Genomic DNA, 23,166 nt, shown 5'->3' with positions numbered 1-23,166 from the left:
TCAAGTTTTTTCCTGCATTAACTGCATTTATTTTTGCCCCCACAAATCACTGCTCTTTTTAACATGAATGTTATTAAGTGAAAAAAGATTAGAATACTGTAATACAGAATGGCCCCTCTTAATACCTGTTAGCTACCTATTCAACATCTACCTCCCCCGCCCCCCCCCCTTTTTTTTTTTTTTTTGCAGTTATCCAGCCTTTAGGCCTGGCACCCTGTCCCTAGCTCAGGGGTAAATCTTGATAAGTCAGTTGTAATAATTCCATTATTATTGCTTGTGGTCTGTTCAAGGGTGAGTGTGACCCAGTTTTACTCTGTAACAGGAGGGCAGGTCAACTGAGGTGTTTCTGGGGAAGGATTGTTTTTTTTACTCTAAAAAGAGTCACAGCCAGATGCTGTGGCTCACGCCTGTAATCGCAACCCTATGGGAGGCCGAGGTGGGAGGATTGCTTGAGCTCAAGAGTTTGAGACCAGCCTGGGCAACATAGTGAAACCCAATCCCTACAAAAAATTTTAAAAAGTAGCTGGGCATGGTGGTGTGCACCTGTAGTCCCAGCTATTCAGGAGGCAGAGGTTGCAGTGAGCTGAGATCACAACAGTGCACTCCAGCCTGGGCAACAGAGCCAGACCCTGTCTCAAAAAAAAAAAAAAGAGTCGCAAGAAAGAAACGCCCATCTTCTATGCCAGATACTGTCTGCATGCAGTGCCTAGGATACTGCGGCAATCATCTTGCAATCAGTGAGGGGTTCTAGCCGGAGGACTGATGCCATGCAGTCATGAAAGGCAACTGGTCTAACAGAGTGGAAAGATGGAAAGAACCTGCGTCTTTCATAATGTTGTCGAACTGCTAAATTAACCCTGGAACTGCCCTACTTTAGGTCTTTTTGTTTGGTGACACTTTGATCTGTTGGAGAGTGCATGGCACCTGGCACCACTGACTTCTTCCTCCCTCTCAGATCTTTCCCTGCCTATACCCTTGTGAACCATTGTCCATGTTTTCCTCCTGTGCCTGAGGCTATTTTTAAAATTATCTTTCAAGGGTTTATGTTCCTCTGTGTATCCCCAAATTGTGGTTGTGTGCGGCTGCATTTCTTTCTTCACCTCATTTCAACCAACTCTGCGCTTTCTTACTGGGTGGGCTCTTCCATGCCTTTGACATATGCCTGTAATCTCCCAATCTCTGTCATCCCCCCTCACTTACCATGTGTCTCCAACACCACACTAAACTCACCATGTCTTGCTCTTCTGTATCTCCAGTCCATGAACGGTACCACAGTCACCAAAGCCAGAATATTCAGGCTTCCTGGATTCCTCCCTTTCCCTCACAGCACTCCATCCCCTTCCTGTCAAATCCATTCCAGGAAGGAATCCTATGAATTTTTCATGTCTGTTCTGCTCTAATCCTCACTACTTACCCCTCTCCTCTTAACTCAGGTCCACATCATTTCTCATCTGGACTGTTACCATATGCCTGCCACTTTCTAGTCAGGATTCATGCTGTCAACAGGGAAATGTTTTTCACATCAAAATCTGATCATGTCGTTTTTCCCACTTCCCCTCCCCCAAAATTCCTTTAATGGTTTCCTATTTGCCTTCAGGATAAATGCTAAATTCATTATAAAACCTGCCTTTTTACCTTCCTTATATGTCCTCCACACCTGGGGAGAACTACATGTCATTTCCTGAAAGCACTGATCTTCATAAGGGCTGGGCGTGTTATTCATACCTTGAGTCTCCCCTCTAAAGATAGTTTTTTATGGAAGTTTTCATACATATAGGAAAGTAGAAAGAACAAATAATGAATGTACTTTTAACATAAACTCAGGGATTATTGCCATTTTTGCATATTTATACTTCTGTTTTTGAATCATTTGAAAGCAGCAGACCTCATGACCTTTCATTCCTAATTCTTGAGCACACACTGCCATACAGTTGATCCTTTAACAACATGGCAGGTTAGGGGCACGGACTCCCCACCACACTGCGTAGTTGAAAATTCACATGTAACTTTTGACTCCCCAAAAACTTAACTACTAATAGCCTACTTTTGACCAGAAGCCTTACTGATAATATAAGCAGTCAGTTAACATGTATTTTGTATGTAATAGGCATTATATGTACTGTATTTTTACCATAAAGGAAGCTAAAAAAAAATGTTAAGAAGACAGTAAGGAAATTCTCATTCATTAAGTGGAGGTGGATCATCGTAAAGGTCTTCACCTCATCTTCACATTGAGTAGGCTGAGGAGGAAGTGATAGTCTTGCTGTCACAGGTGGCAGAGGCGGAAGAAAATCCGTGTGGACCCTCATAGTTCAAACCCATATTGTTCAAGAGTCAACTGTATAAGGACATTCTGCATAACTACAGTACCATTATTGACATTGTGAGAAAATTAATAGTAATTATGGAGTGCTTTTAATCTCCCTCTGTTTTGGTCAAGGCTGTAGTTATTTGGTTGTAAGTGACAGAAACCTGAAATTAACTGAGGCAAAAATGATAATATATTGGAATACTGAGGACCATAATATATCTGCAGGAAAGTCAGAGATGCAGCTGGCACCTGGGAACAACAGCATTCACTTGCTCTAACACCACCAGGAGTCTTCTGTCTCTTATTTCTGCCTGTCTATGTATTGGCTTATTCTCTCTCACTGCCGGTATCCTTTCCCTACAGCAGTGGGAAGAAATTCGCTGACTGCTCTTCAGCCTTGCATTCTGTGTCTTCACTCCACTGGGAAGCTCTGTTGTAAAGCAAGCCTTTCCCCAGTCTAACTAGCAGGGGTGGAAACTGCCTTCTCTCTGCTTCCAGGGTGGTGTTAATCCTGCTGAGATGAGATGGAGCCCCACCCAAAATTTGGTTCAGATATCAAGACTGTTGATGTCACATATGCACAGACACCAGCAGAATGAAAAAGTTTATTGTACTCACCGAATGAAGATTCTAGGGGATGACCATGGTAGGCAGATGTGAGAAAGGGCTGGAGAGAGCAGAGAAGGACTAGATTGGTTTTTTTGTTTGTTTGCTCATTATTATTATTTTTTAATTATTATACTTTAAGTTCTGGGGTATATGTGCAGAACGTGCAGTTTTGTTACATAGGTACACATGTGCCATGGTAGTTTGCTGCATGCATCAACCCATCACCTACGTTAGGTACTTCTCCTAATGTTATCCCTCCTCTAGCCCCCCAGCCCCTGACAGGCCCTGGTGTATGATGTTCCCCCCTCTATGTCCATGTGTTCTCATTGTTCAACTCCCACTTACGAGTAAGAACATGCAGTGTTTGGTTTTCTGCTCTTGTGGTAGTTTGCTGAGAATGATGATTTCCAGCTTCATCCATGTCCCTGCAAAGGGCATGAACTCATCCTTTTTTATGGCTGCATAGTATTCCATGTTGTATGTGTGCCACATTTTCTTTATCCAGCCTATTGATGGACATATGAGTTGCTTCCAAGTCTTTGCTATTGTGAATAGTGCCACAGTAAACATACGTGTGCATGTGTCTTTATAGTAGAATGATTTATAGTCCTTTGGGTATATACCCAGTAATGAGATTGCTGGGTCAAATGGTATTTCTAGTTCTAGATCCTTGAGGAATCACCACACTGTATTCTACAATGGTTGAACTAATTTACCTGCCCACCAACAGTGTAAAAGCGTTCCTGTTTCTCCACATCCTGTCCAGCATCTGTTGTTTCCTGACTTTTTAATGATCGCCATTCTAACTGGTGTGAGATGGTATCTCATTGTGGTTTTGATTTGCATTTCTCTAATGACCAGTGATGATGAGCATTTTTTCATATGTTTGTTGGCTGCATAAATGTCTTCTCTTGAAGTGTCTGTTCCTATCCTTTGCCCACTTTTTAATGGGATCTTATTTTCTTGTAAATTTGTTTAAGTTCCTTGTAGATTCTGGATGTTAGCCCTTTGTCAGATGGATAGATTGCAAAACTTTTCTCCCATTCTGTAGGCTGCCTGTTCACTCTGATGATAGTTTCTTTTGCTGTGCAGAAGCTCTTTGGTTTAATTAGATCCCATGTGTCAATTTTGGCTTTTGTTGCCATTGCTTTTGGTGTTTTAGTCATGAAGTCTTTGCCCATGCCTATGTCCTGATTGGTATTCCCCAGGTTTTCTTCTAGGATTTTTATGGTCCTAGGTCATATGTTTAAGTCTTTGATCCATCTTGAGTTTATTTTTGTATAAGGTACAAGGAAGCGGTCCAGTTTCAGTTTTCTGCATATGGCTAGCCAGTTTTCCCAACACCATTTATTAAATAGGGAATCTTTTCTGCATTGCTTGTTTGTGTCAGGTTTGTCAAACATCAGATGGTTGTAGATGTGTGGTGTTGTTTCTGAGGCCTTTCTTCTGTTCCGTTGGTCTATATATCTGTTTTGGTACCAGTACCATACTGTTTTCGTTACTGTAGCCTTGTAGCATAGTTTGAAGTCACATAGTGTGATGCCTTTAGCTTTGTTCTTCTTGCCCAGGATTGTCTTGGCAATACGGGTTCTTTTTTGGTTCCATATGAAGTTTAAAGTAGTTTTTTCCAATTCTATGAAGAAAGTTAGTGGTAGCTTGTTGGGGATAGCAGTGAATCTATAAATTACTTTGGGCAGTATGGCCATTTTCATGATATTGATTCTTCCTATCCATGAGCATGGAATGTTTTTCCATTTGTTTGTGTCCTCTCTTAATTTCCTTGAGCAGTGGTTTGTAGTTCTCCTTGAAGAGGTCCTTCACATCCCTTGTTAGTTGGATTCCTAGGTATTTTGTTCTCTTCGTAGCAATTGTGAATGGGAGTTACTCATGATTTGGCTCTCTGTTTGTCTGTTAGTGGTGTATAGGAATGCTTCTGAGTTTTGCACATTGATTTTGTATCCTGAGACTTTGCTGAAGTTGCTTATCAGCAGCTTAAGGAGATTTTGGGCTGAGTCGATGGGGTTTTCTAAACGTATCATCATTTCATCTGCAAACAGATACAATTTGACTTCCTCCTTTTCTATTTGAATACCCGTTATTTCTTTCTCTTGCCTGATTGCCCTGGCCAGAACTTCCAATACTATGTTGAATAGGGGTGATGAGACAGGGCATCCTTGTCTGGTGCCAGTTTTCAAAGGGAATGCTTCCAGTTTTTGCCCACTCAGTATGGTATTGGCTATGGGTTTGTCATAAATAGCTTTTATTATTTTGAGATATGTTCCATCAATACCTAGTTTATTGACAGTTTTTAGCATGAAGGAGTGTTGAATTTTGTTGAAGGCCTTTTCTGCATCTATTGAGATAATCCTGTGGCTTTTGTCATTGGTTCTGTTTATGTGATGGATTACCTTTATTGGTTTGCTTATGTTGAACCAGCCTTTCCACCCCAGGGATAAAGACAACTTGATCGTGGTGGATAAGCTTTTTGATGTGCTATTCAGTTTGCCGGTATTTTATTGAGGATTTTTGCACCAGTGTTCATCAGGGATATTGGCCTGAAATTTTCTTTTTTTGTTATGTCTCTGCCAGGTTTTGGATCAGGATGATGCTGGCCTTATAAAATGAGTTAGGGAGGATTCCCTCTTTTTCTGTTGTTTGGAATAGTTTCAGAAGGAATGGTACCAGCTCCTCTTTGTACCTCTGATAGAATTTGGCTGTGAATCTGTCTGGTCCTGGACTTTTTCGGTTGGTAGGCTATTAATTACTGCCTCAATTTCAGAACTTGTTATTGGTCTATTCAGGGATTCGACTTTTTCCTGGTTTAGTCTTGAGAGGGTGTATGTGTCCAGGAATTTATCCATTTCTTCTAGATTTTGTAGTTTATTTGCATAGAGGTGTTTATAGTATTCTCTGATGGTAGCTTGTATTTCTGTTGGATAAGTGGTGATATCCCCTATATCATTTTTTATTGCATCTATTTGATTCTTCTCTATTAGTCTGGCTAGTGGTCTATCTATTTTGTTGACCTTTTCAAAAACACAGCTCCTGGATTCATTGATTTTTTTGAAGGGTTTTTTGTGTCTCTATCTCCTTCAGTTCTGCCCTGATCTTAGTTATTTCTTGTCTTCTGCTAGATTTTGAATTTTTTTGCTGTTGCTTCTCTAGTTCTTCTAATTTTGAAGTTATGTTTTCGATTTTAGATCTTTCCTGCTTTCTCTGATGAGCATTTAGTGGTGTAAACTTCCCTCTACACAGTGCTTTGAATGTGTCCCAGAGATTCTGGTACATTGTGTCTTCATTCTCATTGGTTTCAAAGAACATCTTTTTTCTGCCTTCATTTCATTATTTACCCAGTAGCCATTCAGGAGCAGGTTGTTCAACTTCCATGTAGTTGTGCAGTTTTAAGTGAGTTTCTTAATCCTGAGTTCGAATTTGATTGCACTGTGATCTGAGAAACTGTTTGTTATGATTTCTGTTATCTTGCATATGTTGAGGAGTGTTTTCCTTCCAATTATGTGGTCAATTTTAGAATAAGTGTGATGTGGTGCTGAGAAGAATATATATTCTGTTGATTAGGGGTGGAGAGTTCTGTAGATGTCTATTAGGTTTGCTTGGTCCAGAGCTGAGTTCAGGTCCTGAATATCCTTGTTAATTTTCTGTCTTGTTGATCTGTCTAATACGGACAATAGGGTGTTAAAATCTCCCACTATTAGATTGTGTGGGAGTTTAAGTCTCTTTGTAGGTCTCTAAGAACTTGCTTTATGAATCTGGGTGCTTCTGTATTGGGTGCATATATATTTAGGATAGTTAGCTCTTCTTGTTGCATTGATCCCTTTACCATTATATAATGCCCTTCTTTGTCTCTTTTGATCTTTGTTGGTTTAAAGTCTGTTTTATCAGAGATTAGGATTGCAACTCCTGCTTTTTTTCATTTCCATTTGCTTGGTAAATATTCCTCCATCCATTTATTTTGAGCCTGTGTGCCTTGCATGTGAGATGAGTCTCCTGAGTACAGCACACTGATGGGTCTTGACTCTTTTTTCAGTTTGCCAGTCTGTGTCTTTAATTGGGGCATTTAGCCCATTTACATTTAAGTTTAATATTGTTATGTGTAAATTTGATCCTGTTATTATGATGCTAGCTGGTTGTTTGCCTGTTAGTTGCAGTTTCTTCATAGTGTTGATGTTCTTTACAATTTAGTATATTTTTACAGTGGATGCTACTGGTTGTTCCTGTCCATATTTAGTGCTTCCTTCAGGAGCTCTTGTAAGGCAGGCCTGGTGGTGACAGAATATCTCAGCATTTGCTTGTCTGTAAAGGATTTTATTTCTCCTTCACTTATGAAGCTTAGTTTGGCTGGATATGAAATTCTGGGTTGAAAATTCTTTTCTTTAAGGATGTTGAATATTGGGCCTCACTCTCTTCTGGCTAGTAGAGTTTCTGCAGAGAGATCCGCTGTTAGTCTGATGGGCTTCCCTTTGTGGGTAACCCAACCTTTCTCTCTGGCTGCGCTTAACATTTTTTCCTTCATTTCAACCTTGGTGAATCTGACGATTATGTGTCTTAGGGTTGCTCTTCTCGAGGAGTGTTGTTGTGCTGTTCTCTGTATTTCCTGAATTTGAATGTTGGCCTGTCTTGCTAGATTGGAGAAGTTCTCCTGGATAATATCCTGAAGAGTGTTTTCTAGCTTGGTTCCATTCTCCTTGTCACTTTCAGGTACACCAATCAAACGTAGATTTGGTCTTTTCACATAGTCCCATATTTCTTGGAGGCTTTGTTCATTCCTTTTTATTCCTTTTTCTCTAATCTTGTCTTTGCTCTTTATTTCATTAAGTTGATCTTCAATCACTGATATCCTTTCTTCCACTTGACCAATTCGGCTGTTGAAACTTGTGTATGCTTCACAAAGTTCTCGTGCTGTATTTTTCAGCTCCATCGGGTCATTTATGTTCTTCTCTACACTGGTTATTCTAGTTAACAATTTGTCTAACCTTTTTTTCAAAGTTCTTGGCTTCCTTGCATTGGATTAGAACATACTTCTTTAGCTTGGAGGAGTTTGTTATTACCCACCTTCTGAAACCTACTTCTGTCAGTTCGTCAAACTCATTCTCCATCCAGTTTTGTTCCCTTGCTGGCGAGGAGTTGTGATCTTTGGAGGAGAAGAGACCTTCTGATTTTTGGAATTTTCAGCCTTTTTGTGCTGGTTTATCCCCATCTTTGGATTTATCTACCTTTGGTCTTTGATGTTGGTGACCTTTGGATGGCATCTTTGAGTGGACGTGCTATTCCTTTCTGTTAGTTTTCCTTCTGACAGGCTCCTCTGCTGCTGGTCTGCTGGAGTTTGCTGGAGGTCCACTCCCGACGCTGTTTGCCTTGGTATCAGCAGCGGAGGCTGCAGAACAGCAAAGATTGCTGCCTGATCATTCCTCTGGAAGCTTCTTCCCAGAGGGGCACCTGCCAAATGCCAGCTAGAGCTCTCCTGTATGAGGTGTCTGTTGGCCCCTACTGGGAGTTTTCTCCCAGTGAGGATACACGGCGGTCAGGGACCCACTTGAGGAGGCAGTCTGACCTTCAGCAGAGCTCGAACGCTGTGCTGGGAGGTCCACTGCTCTCTTCAGAGCTGCCAGGCAGGGATGTTTAAGTCTGCTGAAGCTTCGGCCACAGCTGCCCCTTTCCCCAGGTGCTCTGTCCCAGGGAGCTGGGGATTTATCTATAAGTCCCTGACTGGGGCTGCTGCCTTTTTTTCAGAGATGCCCTGCCCAGAGAAGAGAAATCTGGCAGTCTGGCCACAGCGGCCGTGCTGAGCTGCAGTGGGCTCTGCCCAGTTCGAACTTCCCCGTGACTTGTGACTTTGTTTACACTGTGATTGTAAAACCACCTACTCAAGCCTTAGCAATGGCGGACGCCCCTCCCCCCACCAAGCTCCATTGTCACAGGTTGACCTCAGACTGCTTCTGTGCTGGCAGCGAGAACTTCAAGCCAGTGAATCTTAGTTTGCTGGGCTCCATGGGGGTGGGACCCACTGAGCCAGGCCACTTGGGTCCCTGGCTTCAGCACCCCTTTCCAGGGGAGTGAATGGTTCTGTCTTGCTGGTGTTCCAGGTGCCAATGGGGTATGGAAAAAAAAGAACTCATGAAGTTAGTTCGGTGACTGCCCAAACGGCCGCCCAGTTTTGTGCTTGAAACCCAGGGCCCTGGTGGGGTAGGCACCGGAGGGAATCTCCTGGTTTGCAGCTTGCAGAGACCATGGGACAAGCGCAGTATCTGTGCCAGAGTTCCTCAGGTTCAGTCCCTGACAGCTTCCTTTGGGTAGAAGAGAAAATTCCCTGACCCCTTGTGCTTCACAGATGAGGTGATGCCCCACCCTGCTTCGGCTCGCCCTCCGTGGGCTGTACCCACTGTCTAACCAGTCCCAGTTGGAAATGTAGAAGTCACCCGCCTTCTGCATCCATCTCGCTGGGAGCCGCAGACTGGAGCTGTTCCTGTTCGGCCATCTTGCCAGCAATTGGTTTTTATTGCGGTTGGGGAGCAAGGCTGGAGTGGGTTTGCATGATTGGAACTTCTCACTAGCTCCGAGAGAGAAGGGCTTTTTGATTGGCTTGCCCAGGTTTGGGGCTAAAGGTAAAGGGGCATCATTGGGGCTTGAAAACTATCAACAGTTGAATATCAAAAATGGAGTTAGAGTCTTTCTAACTCATGGCATCTTCTAAAAAGTATCAGGCCCTTCAGGAAGGGTGCATCTAGAATTTCCCTTGCTTCTTTCTTGACCCCAGTGCTGACTCCTGTCATTACCCTGATCATTCCTACTCTCCTGTAGAATTTGTTTCACAATAAACAGATCAAATTAGCTTTCTTTGTTTTCAGACTTTTTGTTTAAATTTATTCTTTAAGCCTACCTGTATTCTCTCTGCCCTTCCTCCCTTTCCCTCCCCCTCTTTTCTTTTCCCCCTTTCTCTCCTCTTCTCTCCTTGTAACAATCCCATGGGGCAATCTAGACACCACTGGCTCCCCTCCCATTCTCCACTCCCCCCCCGACCCCATTTTTATGCCAGTGCTGTTAAATGTTTTTCTGTTTCCATAGCAACTCCTATAATTACCTGATGGATTCTTCCTGCCTGCTATACAGACAAAACCAGTTCACTGAGACCATGGTATTGCAATAAAGAGTTTTACTAACATGAGGCCAGCCACACAGGAGATAGAGTTATTACTCAAATCAGTCTCCCTGAAGGCTTGGAGATTAGGGTTTTACAAGGATAGTTTTGTGGGCAGGGGGCTAGGGAATGAGGAATGTTGATTGGTTGAGGATGGAATCATAGGGATGTGGAATATGGTCCTCCTGCTCTGAGTCAGCCTTTGGGTGGGGGCCACAGGACCGGTTGAGTCAGCCAGTTGTCAGAAATGCAAACATCTGAAAGGATCTCTCAAAAGACCAACCTTAGGTTCTGTAGTAGTAATGCTTCCTACAGGAGTGATTGGGAAATTTAGAAACCTTATGATCTCCCAGACAATGTCCGGTTATCTCAGGCCCCTCTGATAACCCTAACCTCATGGCTTTTCATTAGTTTTCAGAAGCAGTTTCGTTTTGGGAAAGGTTATTATCATCCTTGCTTTAATGTTAAACTATAAACTAAATTCCTCCCAAAGTTAGCTTTGCCTGTTCCCAGAAATGACAAAGGACAGCTTGGAGGTCAGAAGCAAGATGGCGTCAACTATGTCAGATTTCTCTTACTGTTCTAATTTTGCAAAGGCAGTTTCACTCCAGACATTCATTGCAGGCTGTAAAAGATGCTTTGGGTAGAAACTTGGTTTACTAAAATCTTTGGCTTATATAATTATTACATTCAGAAAATCTTGATTTCAGATCTGAAGGTTAAAGTAGGTACTTCATGGCTATAAAAAAAATGGACGTTGAATAGACTATTGCTAAAAATAGATGTCTTTATTGTCAAGATAAATTTAGTTTATGAAAGGCATTTTTCTCTGATGACTTTTTGGTATTCCAAGAAAATCAAATAGGCCCCCTAAAGGGATACTTGGTGCCTCTTAGCTTTTCAATTCCTACCTACCCAATCTTTCCATAAAAGATTTTACATCAACTCCCCAGCTCAGCCTTCAATCTAAAATGTTTTTGAAAGGAGGATAGTAGTATTTTGCGGTAATTGAGTGGTACAAAGTACTGCATATTGATTTGACCCGACTTCCTGCCCAAAACTATGCTTAACAGAGTGCTGTGTCACTGTCATTCATAAGGTCTGCCTCAGGGCAGTTGCTAAGCCATTTCTTCAGCTGTTTCCTGGCACTGCAGTGTCATCTTTCTGTGGTGTAGGAAACTTGCCCTTGACCACAAAATTGCAGTTTACTTTCCAAGCTAGTCTCTAATTCATAGCTGCTGCTTTCTAATTCTTTTGAGCCTCAGACTATTCGAAAATATGGACAGTTCGTAGTTCTGCTGCAGCAGCACAGAGAACAGCTGTATGCCTGCTTCAGCTTGGTTTATAAATACCTCACACTGTCCCTTTTGGCCCTACTTCTGTCTTTGGACAGCCAGTAATGGAAACAAACAGGACCAGCACTGGCAGGCATTTGGAAATCTTTGTTTTATTTTTAAATTTTACCTGTTCAGCCAAGTAGTCATATATCCTGCTTATGATAGGCAGAATTCTAAGATAGACCAGAATTCTAAAAATTTCTGGCCTCTAATGTACCTGTACATACATTCTCCCAATTATTCAATCAAACACCAATCTAGGTGTTGCTATAGAGGATTTTGAAACTGTAACTAAGGCCCCAAATCAATTGACCTTTGAGATAGATTTTTTTTGGGTGAGCCTGACCTAATCCACGAACCTTTAAAATCTGGCTTTAGCAATCAGAAACAGAAATGTCAGGTATTTGAGGTAAGGGAGATATTGGATGCAAGAGAGTTTCTTCGTGCTGCTTTTGAAAATGGTAGGGTCATATGGCAAAAGACTGAAAGCAACCCGAATTTTATCAACAACCAGAATGAACTTAAAAGAACTTTGAGCTTCAGATGAGGACACATCTTGCTGACACCTGCATTTCCTTGTGAGACCTCGAGCAGATAAACCAGGCATTCTTACAGAATTGTAAGATAATGAACGGGCATTGCTTTAAGCCTCAAAGTTTGTGGTAATTTGTTACATAGTATAGAAAAGCAACACATTGTGAGTTTACAAATGGTCATGTACTTTCCATGGTCTAGATTCTGCTCATGTCACCAAAGGAACGGAGGATGGTGAGGAGGAAGGCAAGCTGTTCACAGACCTATGAGGTCTGTGAGCAAGTCTGTCCAAGGAGTGCCCGCTCCCTTTGCTTCCTGTGGTGTGGACTGCCCAGAGCTAGAGGCAGCCTGCCCTGTTTGAGCACGCAACGACTAAAATAGCCTGCTGATGTCCTTCCTGACAGCTTCCCTCTGTTCTTGTTACTCCAAGCTACTTTGAACAACATAAGTAGATGACTCATCTCCTCTGAGCAAGGGTTCATTCATTTCTATGGGATGTGGCCCATGCCTTTCCTCTTTGATCCCTGGAAGAAAGGGCAGGGCCAGCCTCAGAAGCATTGCAGATCAAGCATTCTGATCCACTCCTGCTTCCAGGCTCCTAGCACTTCCACACTTGTCTCTTTTCCCCACAGCCCTCTCCTGCAGGAGGCCACCTCCAATCCTGTCTTCTTGAAGGATACCCCAAATTACCTGTCCATTATGTATCCTGTCTTCTTTATCTTAGCTGAGATTGATTGTACTAAAGTTACACAAGGAAAAACATTGAGAAGGAATTCACAGGGATGTGCATGAATGGTTGCCAGTTAGCCTGAAGTCTATTTGAATTGTAAAAGCATTTTTTTTCTTAAGAAAGCATACAGTTGGTGAACTTTCAGGATGCAAGGAGGATGTTTTTATTTCTGTGCGCTGTTGTTTTCTACGTAAATGTCTATATGAAGCTTGAGGAAGAAGACTTTTATCTTCTATATTGTATCGATTGAGCTTCCTGCAGTATCGTGGCTGTAGTTTGAGGCCCCTTGTGGTTTGTACCCATTTCCCTAATTGTTTCATGGTGTCGTAACCCCACCTGGGATTGATGAGCCTGTCATTTAAAGGATCTGAGTCTCCACGGAGGCAAGAGGAATTCAACAATTTGAGTGCTTCTTGGTTTGAGGAGTTCTACTGTCTAACTCCAAATATGTTCTTACAGACCTTTTCTGGATACCTATCTATCACTGCCTCAGGACCCAAACCCTGTTCCCACTTTTTGTTGTTGTTGTTGTTCTGAACTGTTAGGCCACAGAATGATTGTGGACCTCATAATGTGCAATCTACAGAACGTCAGCCACAGAATGATTTTTGGCCAGGATTTTGCTTCCCTGGGTAAAGCAGAGAAACTCTCCTGTGGGATCCTACCTCTCCAGTGCAGTCTGTGGGCACGGCTTTCCTAGTTAGTAAAAAAAATAAAGTAACTAGCATGATGATAGACTTTAACTCTATCAATAATTGCATTAAATATACATAATCTAAACACATCAATTAAGAGACCAAGATTGTCACATTGAATAAAAAAGCGAGACACAACTAGCAGAAAACCTACATATATGTGTGTGTGTGTATATATATAAAGACATAGACAATATTTTATATATAGATAGATAGATAGATAGACATAGACAAGTTAAAAATAAAAGGATGGAAAAGATATTACCATGTAAACACTAACCAAAAGAACCGTGAAAGGGCTGTGTTAATTTGGACAAAGTAAACTTCAGAACAAGCACTATTACTGGGAATAAAGGGGGATATTACATAAATATAGAGGGGTTAATTTAGATACACAAAAATAACAACTCGAAATATGCATGCATCTAACAATGGAGCTTCCGAATACTTGAAGCAAATATACCCTTAGGGCATGGGATTTTAAGAATGGAGTAAGGAGCTCAATGGACCACCTCAACAGACAGTACTTTAACTAATGAGAATTATTTTTTAAAAAGTTATTAAAGTTGCAGGAAATTATTCATTCAAAAAAATGTTGTAAATCTTCATAAGAACAGTGGCAGTCTCTGGCATTTGGGCTACAACCTATTCTATTATGCTCCCCACCACATACCCCTCAAGCCCCAGCTCCTTGTTATAGAAGCTCCCTCTAACCCCAGTTTATACTCTGGGACTGCAGTTTCACCCTGAGAAGGGAGGGCTGCTAGCATTTCTCATCATCTCCAACTTTATGTTGCAGAAGTTCTATTTCAGGCACATTTCAGAAAGGACTGGGTCTCTCTTCACCCACCCCACTCTAGGACAGATGCTGTATCCCAGATGCAGCAGGCCTGAAACCTGGGGAACCCAATCTTGCTCACCTCACTAGTAGGATAAGTTCCACACTAGGAAGAGCAAGCTGAGAAGACCAGGGTCTACCACCCCTTCCCCAGTGACCACTACTTGTACAGCAGGGCATCACTAGGGGAAAAGCATATCAGACAACACAGACTTTAAAACCAAAAAGTTACTACAAATAAAGATGGACATTTTATGATTACAAAAGGGTCAATCCAGGGAGATATAACAATTATAAACATATATATATATAACTAATAACAGAGACTCACCCAAAATATATGAAGCAAAACTGCCAGAACTGAAGGGAGAAATACACAATGCGACAGTAATAATGACAGTCTTCAGTATCCCCATTTTCAATAATGGCTATACCATCTAGGCAGAAGATAAAGATATAGAAGACTTGGAAAAAGTATAAACCAACTTGACTTGTAGACATCTGTAGAACACCATGCTCAACAACAGAATACTTATTCAGCTCAGGCATATGTAGAATGTTCTCCAAGATAGACCATATGCTAATCCATAATACAAACACTAGTAATTTTAAATGGATTTAAACAATACAGGCTGAACATTCCTAATCTGAAAATCCAAAATGCTCCAAAATCTGAATTTTTTTGTGTGCCAACATGATGCTCAAAGGAAATGCTTATTGAAGAATTGCAGATTCTCAGATTAGGGTTGCTTAACTGATAAGTGTAATGCAGATATTTCAAAATCTGAAAAAATCTGAAATTCAAAACACTCATGGTTCCAAGCATTTCAGGTAAGAGGGATACTCGTCCTGTACAAAGTATGTTCTCTGTCTTAATTTTCTACTGAAATAAATTGGAAATCAAAAAAGTCTTGGGATAATAAACATACTCCTTAATAATCAGTGAATCGAATAAATCAAAAGGGAAATTAGAAAATACTTCGAGATGAACAAAAACAAAACATATCAAAACTTACGGGATGCAGCAAAAACATTGCTGGGAAGGAAACATATACACACCAAAATATCTCAAATCAGAAACTTAACCTTCTCCCTAAAAAAACTAGCAAAAGAGCCAACTAAAGCAAACAGAAATAATAAAAACTAGAGGAAATAAATAAAATACAGAATAGAAAAACATAACAAAATCAACAAAACCAAAAGTTGGTTCTTTGAAAAGATCGAATTGTCAAACCTTTAGCTATACTGACCAGGGAATAAACAGAAAAGACTCAAATTACTAAAATCAGGAATGTAGGAGGTGACATTACTGTCAACTTTATAGAAAGAAGATTACAGGGCAATTTTATGAACAACTGTATGCTAATTCATTAACTTAGTTGAAATGGACAGATTTCCGGAAAGACCCAAAATACACAAACTGACTCACGGAGAAATAGAAAATCTGAATAGACTTATAACAAGTGAAATGTTTGCATTAGTCATTTAAAAACTTGCCAGAAAGTGGCTGGGCACGGCGGCTCACGCCTGTAATCCCTGCACTTTGGGAGGCGAGGCAGGCGGATCACGAGGTCAGGAGATCGAGACCATCCTGGCTAACGGTGAAACCCCACGTCTACTAAAGATACAACAAAAATTAGCCAGGCGTGTTAGTGGGCACCTGTAGTCCCAGCTACTCGGGAGGCTGAGGCAGGAGAATGGCGTGAACCCAGGAGGCGGAGCTTGCAGTGAGCCGAGATCGTGCCACTTCATTCCAGCCTGGGTGACAGAGCGAGACTCCATCTCAAAACAAAACAAAACAAAAACTTGCCAGAAAGCAAGCCCTGCTCCACATAGCTTTACTTAAGGATTCTATGAAACAATCAAAGAAGAATTAATACCAATTATTCCCAAACTCTTCCAAACAATAGAAAGGGAAACAATTCCCAGCTTAGTCTGTTAGATCTGTATTACCCTAATACCAAAACCAGACAAAGACACTACAAGAAAATATAGACAAATACTTCTGCTGAATATAGACGCAAAAATCCTCCACAAAATGCTAATAGATTATAAAAAGAATCTAGTGTACACCATGACCAAGTGACATTTATCTCAAGAATGCAGGGTTGGTTTAACATTGAAAAAATCAATACAGGGAAAACCAATAATCAAGTCAATAAACACAGAAAAAACATTTGAGATAATAACATCCTTTCATGATAATAATGCCTAACAAACTAGGATAGACGGGATTTTCTTCAACCTAATAAAGAGCATCTATGATAACCTGAAGGCTGACATCGTACTTAATGGTGAAAGAATGAAAAAATTCCCCCTACATCAAGAACAACACAAGGAGATCTATTCCTGTCACTTCTCTTCAACATTCTGTTCCAAGTTTGACCATGGCAATAGACCACATTACAATCTATCACAACATTGTGTGTGTTATCCAATTAATTTACTCCAAACATATCATGTTACTTGGGTGTGTGAACTTATGAGCTACTGTCTGGTAATGCGTATTGAGAAGGGCAGAAGGCCAAGCCCTGGTCTTTGTCTCTTCTTGTGAATTTAAAAGGAGAGATAATCCCCAAAATGGAGAGCCCCAGTTCCATACATACACATAAAAACTATTGATTGCCCCATATTTGTCACCACTCTTAACTGACAATGCTTAGGCAGAAGCATCGTGGGACAAAGGTGTCTTCCTAAATCATAGTTCAGTAGCCCTAGGACTGTGGAGGACCAGAGAGAGATGTTAGAGGAGAGCATTTCAAGGGCAGCTGCTCATCAACTCCTTACCCTGGCAAGCTTTTCTATTCTAGGTTGAAGGATCTGGCTCTATCTCAAGGCAGACAGGGAAGAAAGTGGAGAATAATAAAGTTCGGAAGCCTTCTCATAGCCTAGCCTCTCGTTGTCAGCTCAGGCTGCCCATTGACACTCACTTTCCTTTGCCTGCCACTTTAAGGCAGCCTTCAGTTCTCCCAAGGGCTTCTCACTGTTTTTTGGTTATTTCTTGGAGTCAGTACCTCCCTCTAACTTCTAAATTTTTTCAGCATTATTGTTGTGGGGAAGGAAGATGGCAGGAAGAGCCAGCATGTACTAAATCACTATCTTTAAGGAACCTAAATTAGCCCCTGATTAATTTGTTGCTTTTTTTTAAAATTATTTTAAATTTTTGTGGGTACATAGTAGATATATATATTTATGGATTACCTAAGATATTTTGATACAGGTATGCAATGCATAAAAATCACATCAAGGTAAATGGGATAGTCATCACCTCAGTCATTTATCTTTTGTGTTACCAACAATCCATTTATATTATTGTAGTTATTTAAAAGGTACAGTTAATTTTTTTTTTAACTGTAGTCACCGTGTTGTGCTAGGAAATGCTAGGTCTTATCCATACTTTCAGTTTCTTTATACGTATTAATCATCCCCATTTCTACCCATCCCCGCTGCTATCCTTCCCAGCCTCTGGTAACCATCCTCCTACTCTCTATCTCCATGAGTTCAATTGTTTTGATTTTTAGCTCCCACAAATAGTGAGAACATGGAAAGTTTGTCTTTCTGGGTCTGGCTTATTTTACTTAACATAATGTTCTCTAGCTCCATCCAGGTTGTTGCAAATGACAGGATCTCATTATTTTTCATGGTTGAATAGTACTCCATCGTGTATATGTACCACATTTTTTTTATCCATTCATCTGGTAATAAACACTTAGGTGGCTTCCAAATCTCGGCTATTGTGAATAGTGCTGTAATAAACATGGGAGTACATAAAACGCTACAATATACTGATTTCCTTTATTTTGGGTGTATACTCATGACTGGGATTGCTGGATTGTATGGTAGCTCTACTTCTAGTTTTTTGAGGAACCTCCAAACTGTTGTTCCTAGTGTTTGTACTAATACATTCCCACCAACATTCCCTTTTCTCCATATCCTTGCCAGTATTTGTTGTTGCCTTTTGGATAAAGCCATTTTAATTGGAATCAGATATCTCATTGTGGTTTTGATTTGCACTTCCCTGATAGTCATATTGAGCATTTTTTATATACCTCTTTGTCATTTGTATGTCTTCTTTTGAGAAATACCTATTCAGATACTTTGCCCATGTTTTAACCAGGTTATTAGATTTTTTCCTTTAGAGTCATTTGAGTTCCTCATATATTCTAGTTATTATTAATCCCTTGTCAAATAGGTAGTTTGCAAATATTTCCTCCCATTCTGTGAGCTGTCTCTTAACTTTGTTGATTGTTTCCTTTGCTGTGCAGAAGCTTTTTAAGTTGATATGATCCCATTTGTCCATTTTTGCTTTGGTTACTGGTGCTTGCGGAGTATTACTCAAGAAATCTGTGCCCACTCCAACGTCCTGGAGAGATGCTAACTAATGTCCCTTTCTTTCAGTTTGAAAGAACTCCCATTAGCATTTCTTGTAAGATATATCTGATGTTAGTGAAATCCCTCAGCTTTTGTTTGTCTGGGAACGTCTTTATTCCTCTTTCATATTTGAAGGATATTTTCGCTGGAAAGGATATTTTTGCCAGATATACTATTCTAGGGTAAAAGTGTGGGGGTTTTTTTTGTTGTTGTTGCCTTCAGCACTTTAAGTATGTCATGCCAGTCTCTCCTGGCCTGTAAGATTTCTACTGAAAAGTTTGCTGCCAGGTATTGGAGCTCCATTGTACCTAATTCTGTTTCTTTTCTCTTGTTAATTTTAGGATCCTTTCTTTATCCTTGATTTTTTAAAGTTTGATTATTAAATGCCTTGAGGTAGTCTTTGAGTTAAATCTGCTTGGTGTTCTATGACCATCTTGTAGTTCAATATTAATATCTTTCTCCAGATTTGGGAAGTGTTCTGTTATTATCACTTTAAATAAACTTTCTACCCCTATTTCCTTCTCTACCTCCTCTTTAAGGCCATTAACTCTTAGATTTCCCCTTTTGAGGCTATTTTCTAGGTCCCGTAGGTATGCCTCCTTTTTAATTCTTTTTTGTTTTCTCTCCTCTGACTGTATTTTCAAATAGCCTGTCTTCAAGCTCACTAATTCTTTCTTCTGCTTGATCAATTCTGCTATTAAGAAACTCTGATGCAGTCTTCAGTATGTCAGTTGCATTTTTCAACTCTAGAATTTCTGCTTGATTGTTTTTAATTATTTCAGCGTCTGTATTAAATTTGTCTGATAGAATTCTTAATTCCTTCTCTATGTTATCTTGAATTTCTTTGAATTTCCTCAAAACAGCCATTTTGAATTGTCCGTCTGGAAGGTCACATATCTCTGTTTCTCTCGGATTGGTCCCTGGTGCCTTATTTAATTCATTTAAGGAAGTCATGTTTTCCTGGCTGGTCTTAATGCTTGCAGATGTTCATCAGTGTCTGGGCATTGAAGAGTTAGGTATTTATTTTAATCTTCACAGTCTGGGCTTGTTTGTACCCCTTCTTCTTGGGTAGGCTTTCCAGATATTCAGAAGGACTTGAGTGTAGTGATCTAAGCCATATCTGCATTAGGGGGCACCCCAAGCCCAGCAACACTGTGGTTCTTGCAGACTTGTAGAAGTACCATCTTGGTGGTCTTGGATAAGATCAGGAAGCATTCTCTGGATTACCTGGCAAAGATTCCTGTTCTCTTTCCTTACTGTCTCCCAAACAAACAGTCTCTCTCTCTCTGTGCTGAGCCACCTGGATCTGGGAGTGGAATGACAAAGCATCCCTGTGGCCACCACCACTGGAACTGCACTGGGTCAGACCTGAAGCCAACACAGCACTGAGTCTCGCCCAAGGCCCACTGTAACCACTCCCTGGCTTCCAGGTGTGTTTCTTCAAGGCCCTAGGACTCTAAAATCAGCAGATAGTGAAGCCAGCCAGGTTTGTGTCCTTCTCTTCAGGACAGTGAGTTCCCCCAGGTCCCAGGTGGGTCTGTAGGTGTGTCCAGACCAGTCCAGACCAGGGACTGGAGTCAAACACCTTAGAAATCTACCTAGTGTTCTGTTGTCCTGCAGCTGAGCTGGCCTTCAACCCATTTGATGCAGTCCTACCCACTCTTCCCTCCCCTTTCCACAGGCAGAAGATCCCTACCCCATGGCCACCACCACCACAAGCCCACGGAGAATACCGCCAGGCTACCACCAGTATTCACTTAAAGCCCAAGGGCTCTTCAGTCAGCTTGTGGTAAATGCTGCCAGGTCTGGGACTCACCCTTCAGGGAATTGGGCTCCCTCCCCAATCCACAGCAGCCCTATCCTGCTGTGGCTGAGCTGGTATCCAAGATGCAAGACAAAGTCCTTGTTTCTCTTCCCCCTCCTCTCCTCTGTCAAGCAGAAGAAAGGGATCTCTTTCAGAGCTGTGAGCTGTGCTGCCTGGGGTTGGAGGAGGAGTGGTGCAAGCACTCCCTTGGGCACCCCAGCTCATGTCTCAGTAGGTTGCATGCCCCCCAAGTCTACTGGCTCCAAGCCCAGCACGGCACTAGGACTCTCTTAGGAATTGCGGTGCTTGTGGCCTAGACTGCCTTTCAAATTTATTTAGGGCCCCAGAACACTTTAGCCTGAGGTGGCAAGGCTAATGGGAACTCAAGTTAGGACTGCTAGAGTTCATCTAAATGCTGTCTCCTTGGGCAGGCGACCGCTGAGTTCAGCCAGATTTTGCTTTCTGCTGTGACAGGGCAGCACTGAGTTCATGGCAAAGTCTCACAGTCGCTGCACTGTCCCTCTCCCAAGTGCACAGACTCTCTCTCTGTGCCACTTGGCTGCTGCCGGGTGGAGTGGGGTAGGTGGGAAAGGGTGGCATCAGCGATTCAAGATTTTCTTCCCTACCCTCTTCATTGCCTCTTTCAGTGATATGAAGTTAAAACCAAACCAAGTACTGTGAGTGCTCACCTGATTTTTGGTTCTTATGAAGGTGATTTTTTTGGCATAGAGAGTTGTTAAATTTAGTATTTCTGTGGGGAGAAGGGACAATGAAGGTGGAGCCTTCTATTTGGCCATCATGCCCTGCCCTTCCACCTGCATTCCATTTTCTTAAACTATTGAAAATTATCAGCTGTTCACTGTTTATCAACTTTCCCAAGTCTTGAATTAGAGGTGAGCAACTAAATTGAAGAAAAGGTAGAGACAGAACTTCTTGAAGAACAAAAGCATGGTGGACAGTTGAACGAAATATAAAATGAAGTTCTGGCTCTGCGTTTTCAACTGCTTGGGATTTGAGGTTTATATGCATACTTTAAATGTGAATTACAAAATGTAAAATTTCGAAAACCATGGACCAAAATGATTGCATGAGGAGAGGACCTTGTGAAAGAAGGGTGTATATTTGAATTAGAAATGAGGGTTTGGATTGGTATAGGAGGATAGGGAAAAAAAACACAGGGCAGGCAGATTAGCAGAGCCGTGGGGGACTTGCCCATGGAACTAGCCTGGCTCAGGTGGAAGGTCTGGATTGAAAACAGGGTTACTTGTTTAGGTTGGGTCATGTGAGATTAGGAAGGAACCTAGTAACTAGTGGGTGTGTATAGGTAGTTAGAAAAAGCAAGGAAGCTATAGAAGTTAGGAGGCCTGTACCAATAAGATTAGCTACAGAAGTAGTAAGTGGACTATAGAATAAAGTTTCACTTCTAAGGCAAACCATGGCATGGATGCCAAGGGAGTCATTAAAATGGATTTGTGGATTTCAGACCATTGAGTGTGTTTAGGTTTGACAAGAGGCAGTTCAGTACTGGCGGTTAAAGCGCAGACTAGACCCAGAAGACTTAGATTCACATCCAGGTTCCAAGTGTGCCTTTGACAAGTTAATTAACTTTTCTGTGCCCCAGTATTCTCATCTATGAAATGAGTATAGTAAAAGCCCCTAACTCACAAGATTTCCTCACACAACTTTGCTACTCAGTTTCTGCTCCTAAAATGAAGAGCACGTATCTGTGGAATTTGAGAAGAGGACACAATTGGTAGGAGGCCGGGTGGTGGTACAGAAAGAAAGAAAAGGAACTGACCATTTTGTGCCCCGTCCGCCGCCTCACTGGGTTCTGAGCCTCAGGGATGAAACTTGCTTCACTGTATCCCAGCACCTGGCACTGTACGTGACATAATTGGCACTCAGGAAATATTTATTGAAAGACTAAATGCATTTTTATGTGTAATTTTAAATATAAATTCAGAAAGCATTTTAATATATTTAGCTATGTATTTGTCTAACAATTTTGATTAATTTTTTAACAACTAGAAATAATCAGAATTATCTGTGAAATATTTGTGATAATTTTCTTTTTGTTTTACAGACCAGTTGGAATGCCAAAAATGGAAAAAGTCTACTTACATAATCCTAGTTCTGAAGAAACGATTACTTTAGTATCAATATCTGCTACAACATCACATTTTCATGCATCATTTTTTCAAAATAGGGTAAGTTTCTCTGCTATACATGATCTTTCCTGAGTTTGAAGTTGAAATGTCTAGATTTTTATTGATTAATAACTTGCTGTGATTAGAATTGGGTTTGAATATTTCAAATCTGTTCCTAGATTTGTTTCACTTCCTAAGAATGATTACTTCTACCCTTAACCATATTGTTTTTCTCAACATGCAACAGCTTAACAAATCAGCAGTGAACCTTAAATACTCTGAAAAAGGTAGCATTCTTACATTCAGTACATTTTATTTTCCTTCCTAATAATAGGTAATTCCTTCGCATTGTGTTAGTTGTTTCTTGCTACATAATAAATTACCACAAACTTGAGACTTGTGGCAACAGCCACTTAGCACACAGTTCTGTAAACTGTAAGCACACTGGGTTGTTTGTTCAGTGTATCAGGCTGAATTAAGATGTCTTCCGGGCTGAGTCCTTGTCCAGAGGCTCTGAGGGGAAATCACTTCCAAACTCATTAAAGTTGTTGAGAGAATTAGGTTCCTTGTGGTTGTAGAACTGAAACCCTTGTTTCGCTGCTGGCTCTTGGTCAGTGACCCCTCTCAGCTCCTCAGG

The 23,166-nt window shown here is 41.1% G+C and overlaps 1 protein-coding gene across 8 annotated transcripts in view; it reads left to right on the top strand.

The window, feature by feature from the left end:
• Positions 1 to 23,166, top strand: part of TMEM131 (transmembrane protein 131) — a 239,613-nt gene that overhangs the window by 114,056 nt on the left and 102,391 nt on the right. For all 8 annotated transcript variants that reach the window (XM_047443844.1, XM_047443843.1, NM_015348.2 and 5 more), the window contains one exon: positions 22,466 to 22,589. In XM_047443844.1, coding sequence (XP_047299800.1) covers positions 22,466 to 22,589 — 124 coding nt within the window. The remainder of the gene's footprint in view (positions 1 to 22,465; positions 22,590 to 23,166) is intronic.

Source organism: Homo sapiens, chromosome 2 (assembly GCF_000001405.40).
Source record: "Homo sapiens chromosome 2, GRCh38.p14 Primary Assembly".
Taxonomy (NCBI): Eukaryota; Metazoa; Chordata; class Mammalia; order Primates; family Hominidae; genus Homo; species Homo sapiens.
Note: the sequence above shows the minus strand (reverse complement) of the source record. Positions and strands in the feature narration are given on the sequence as shown.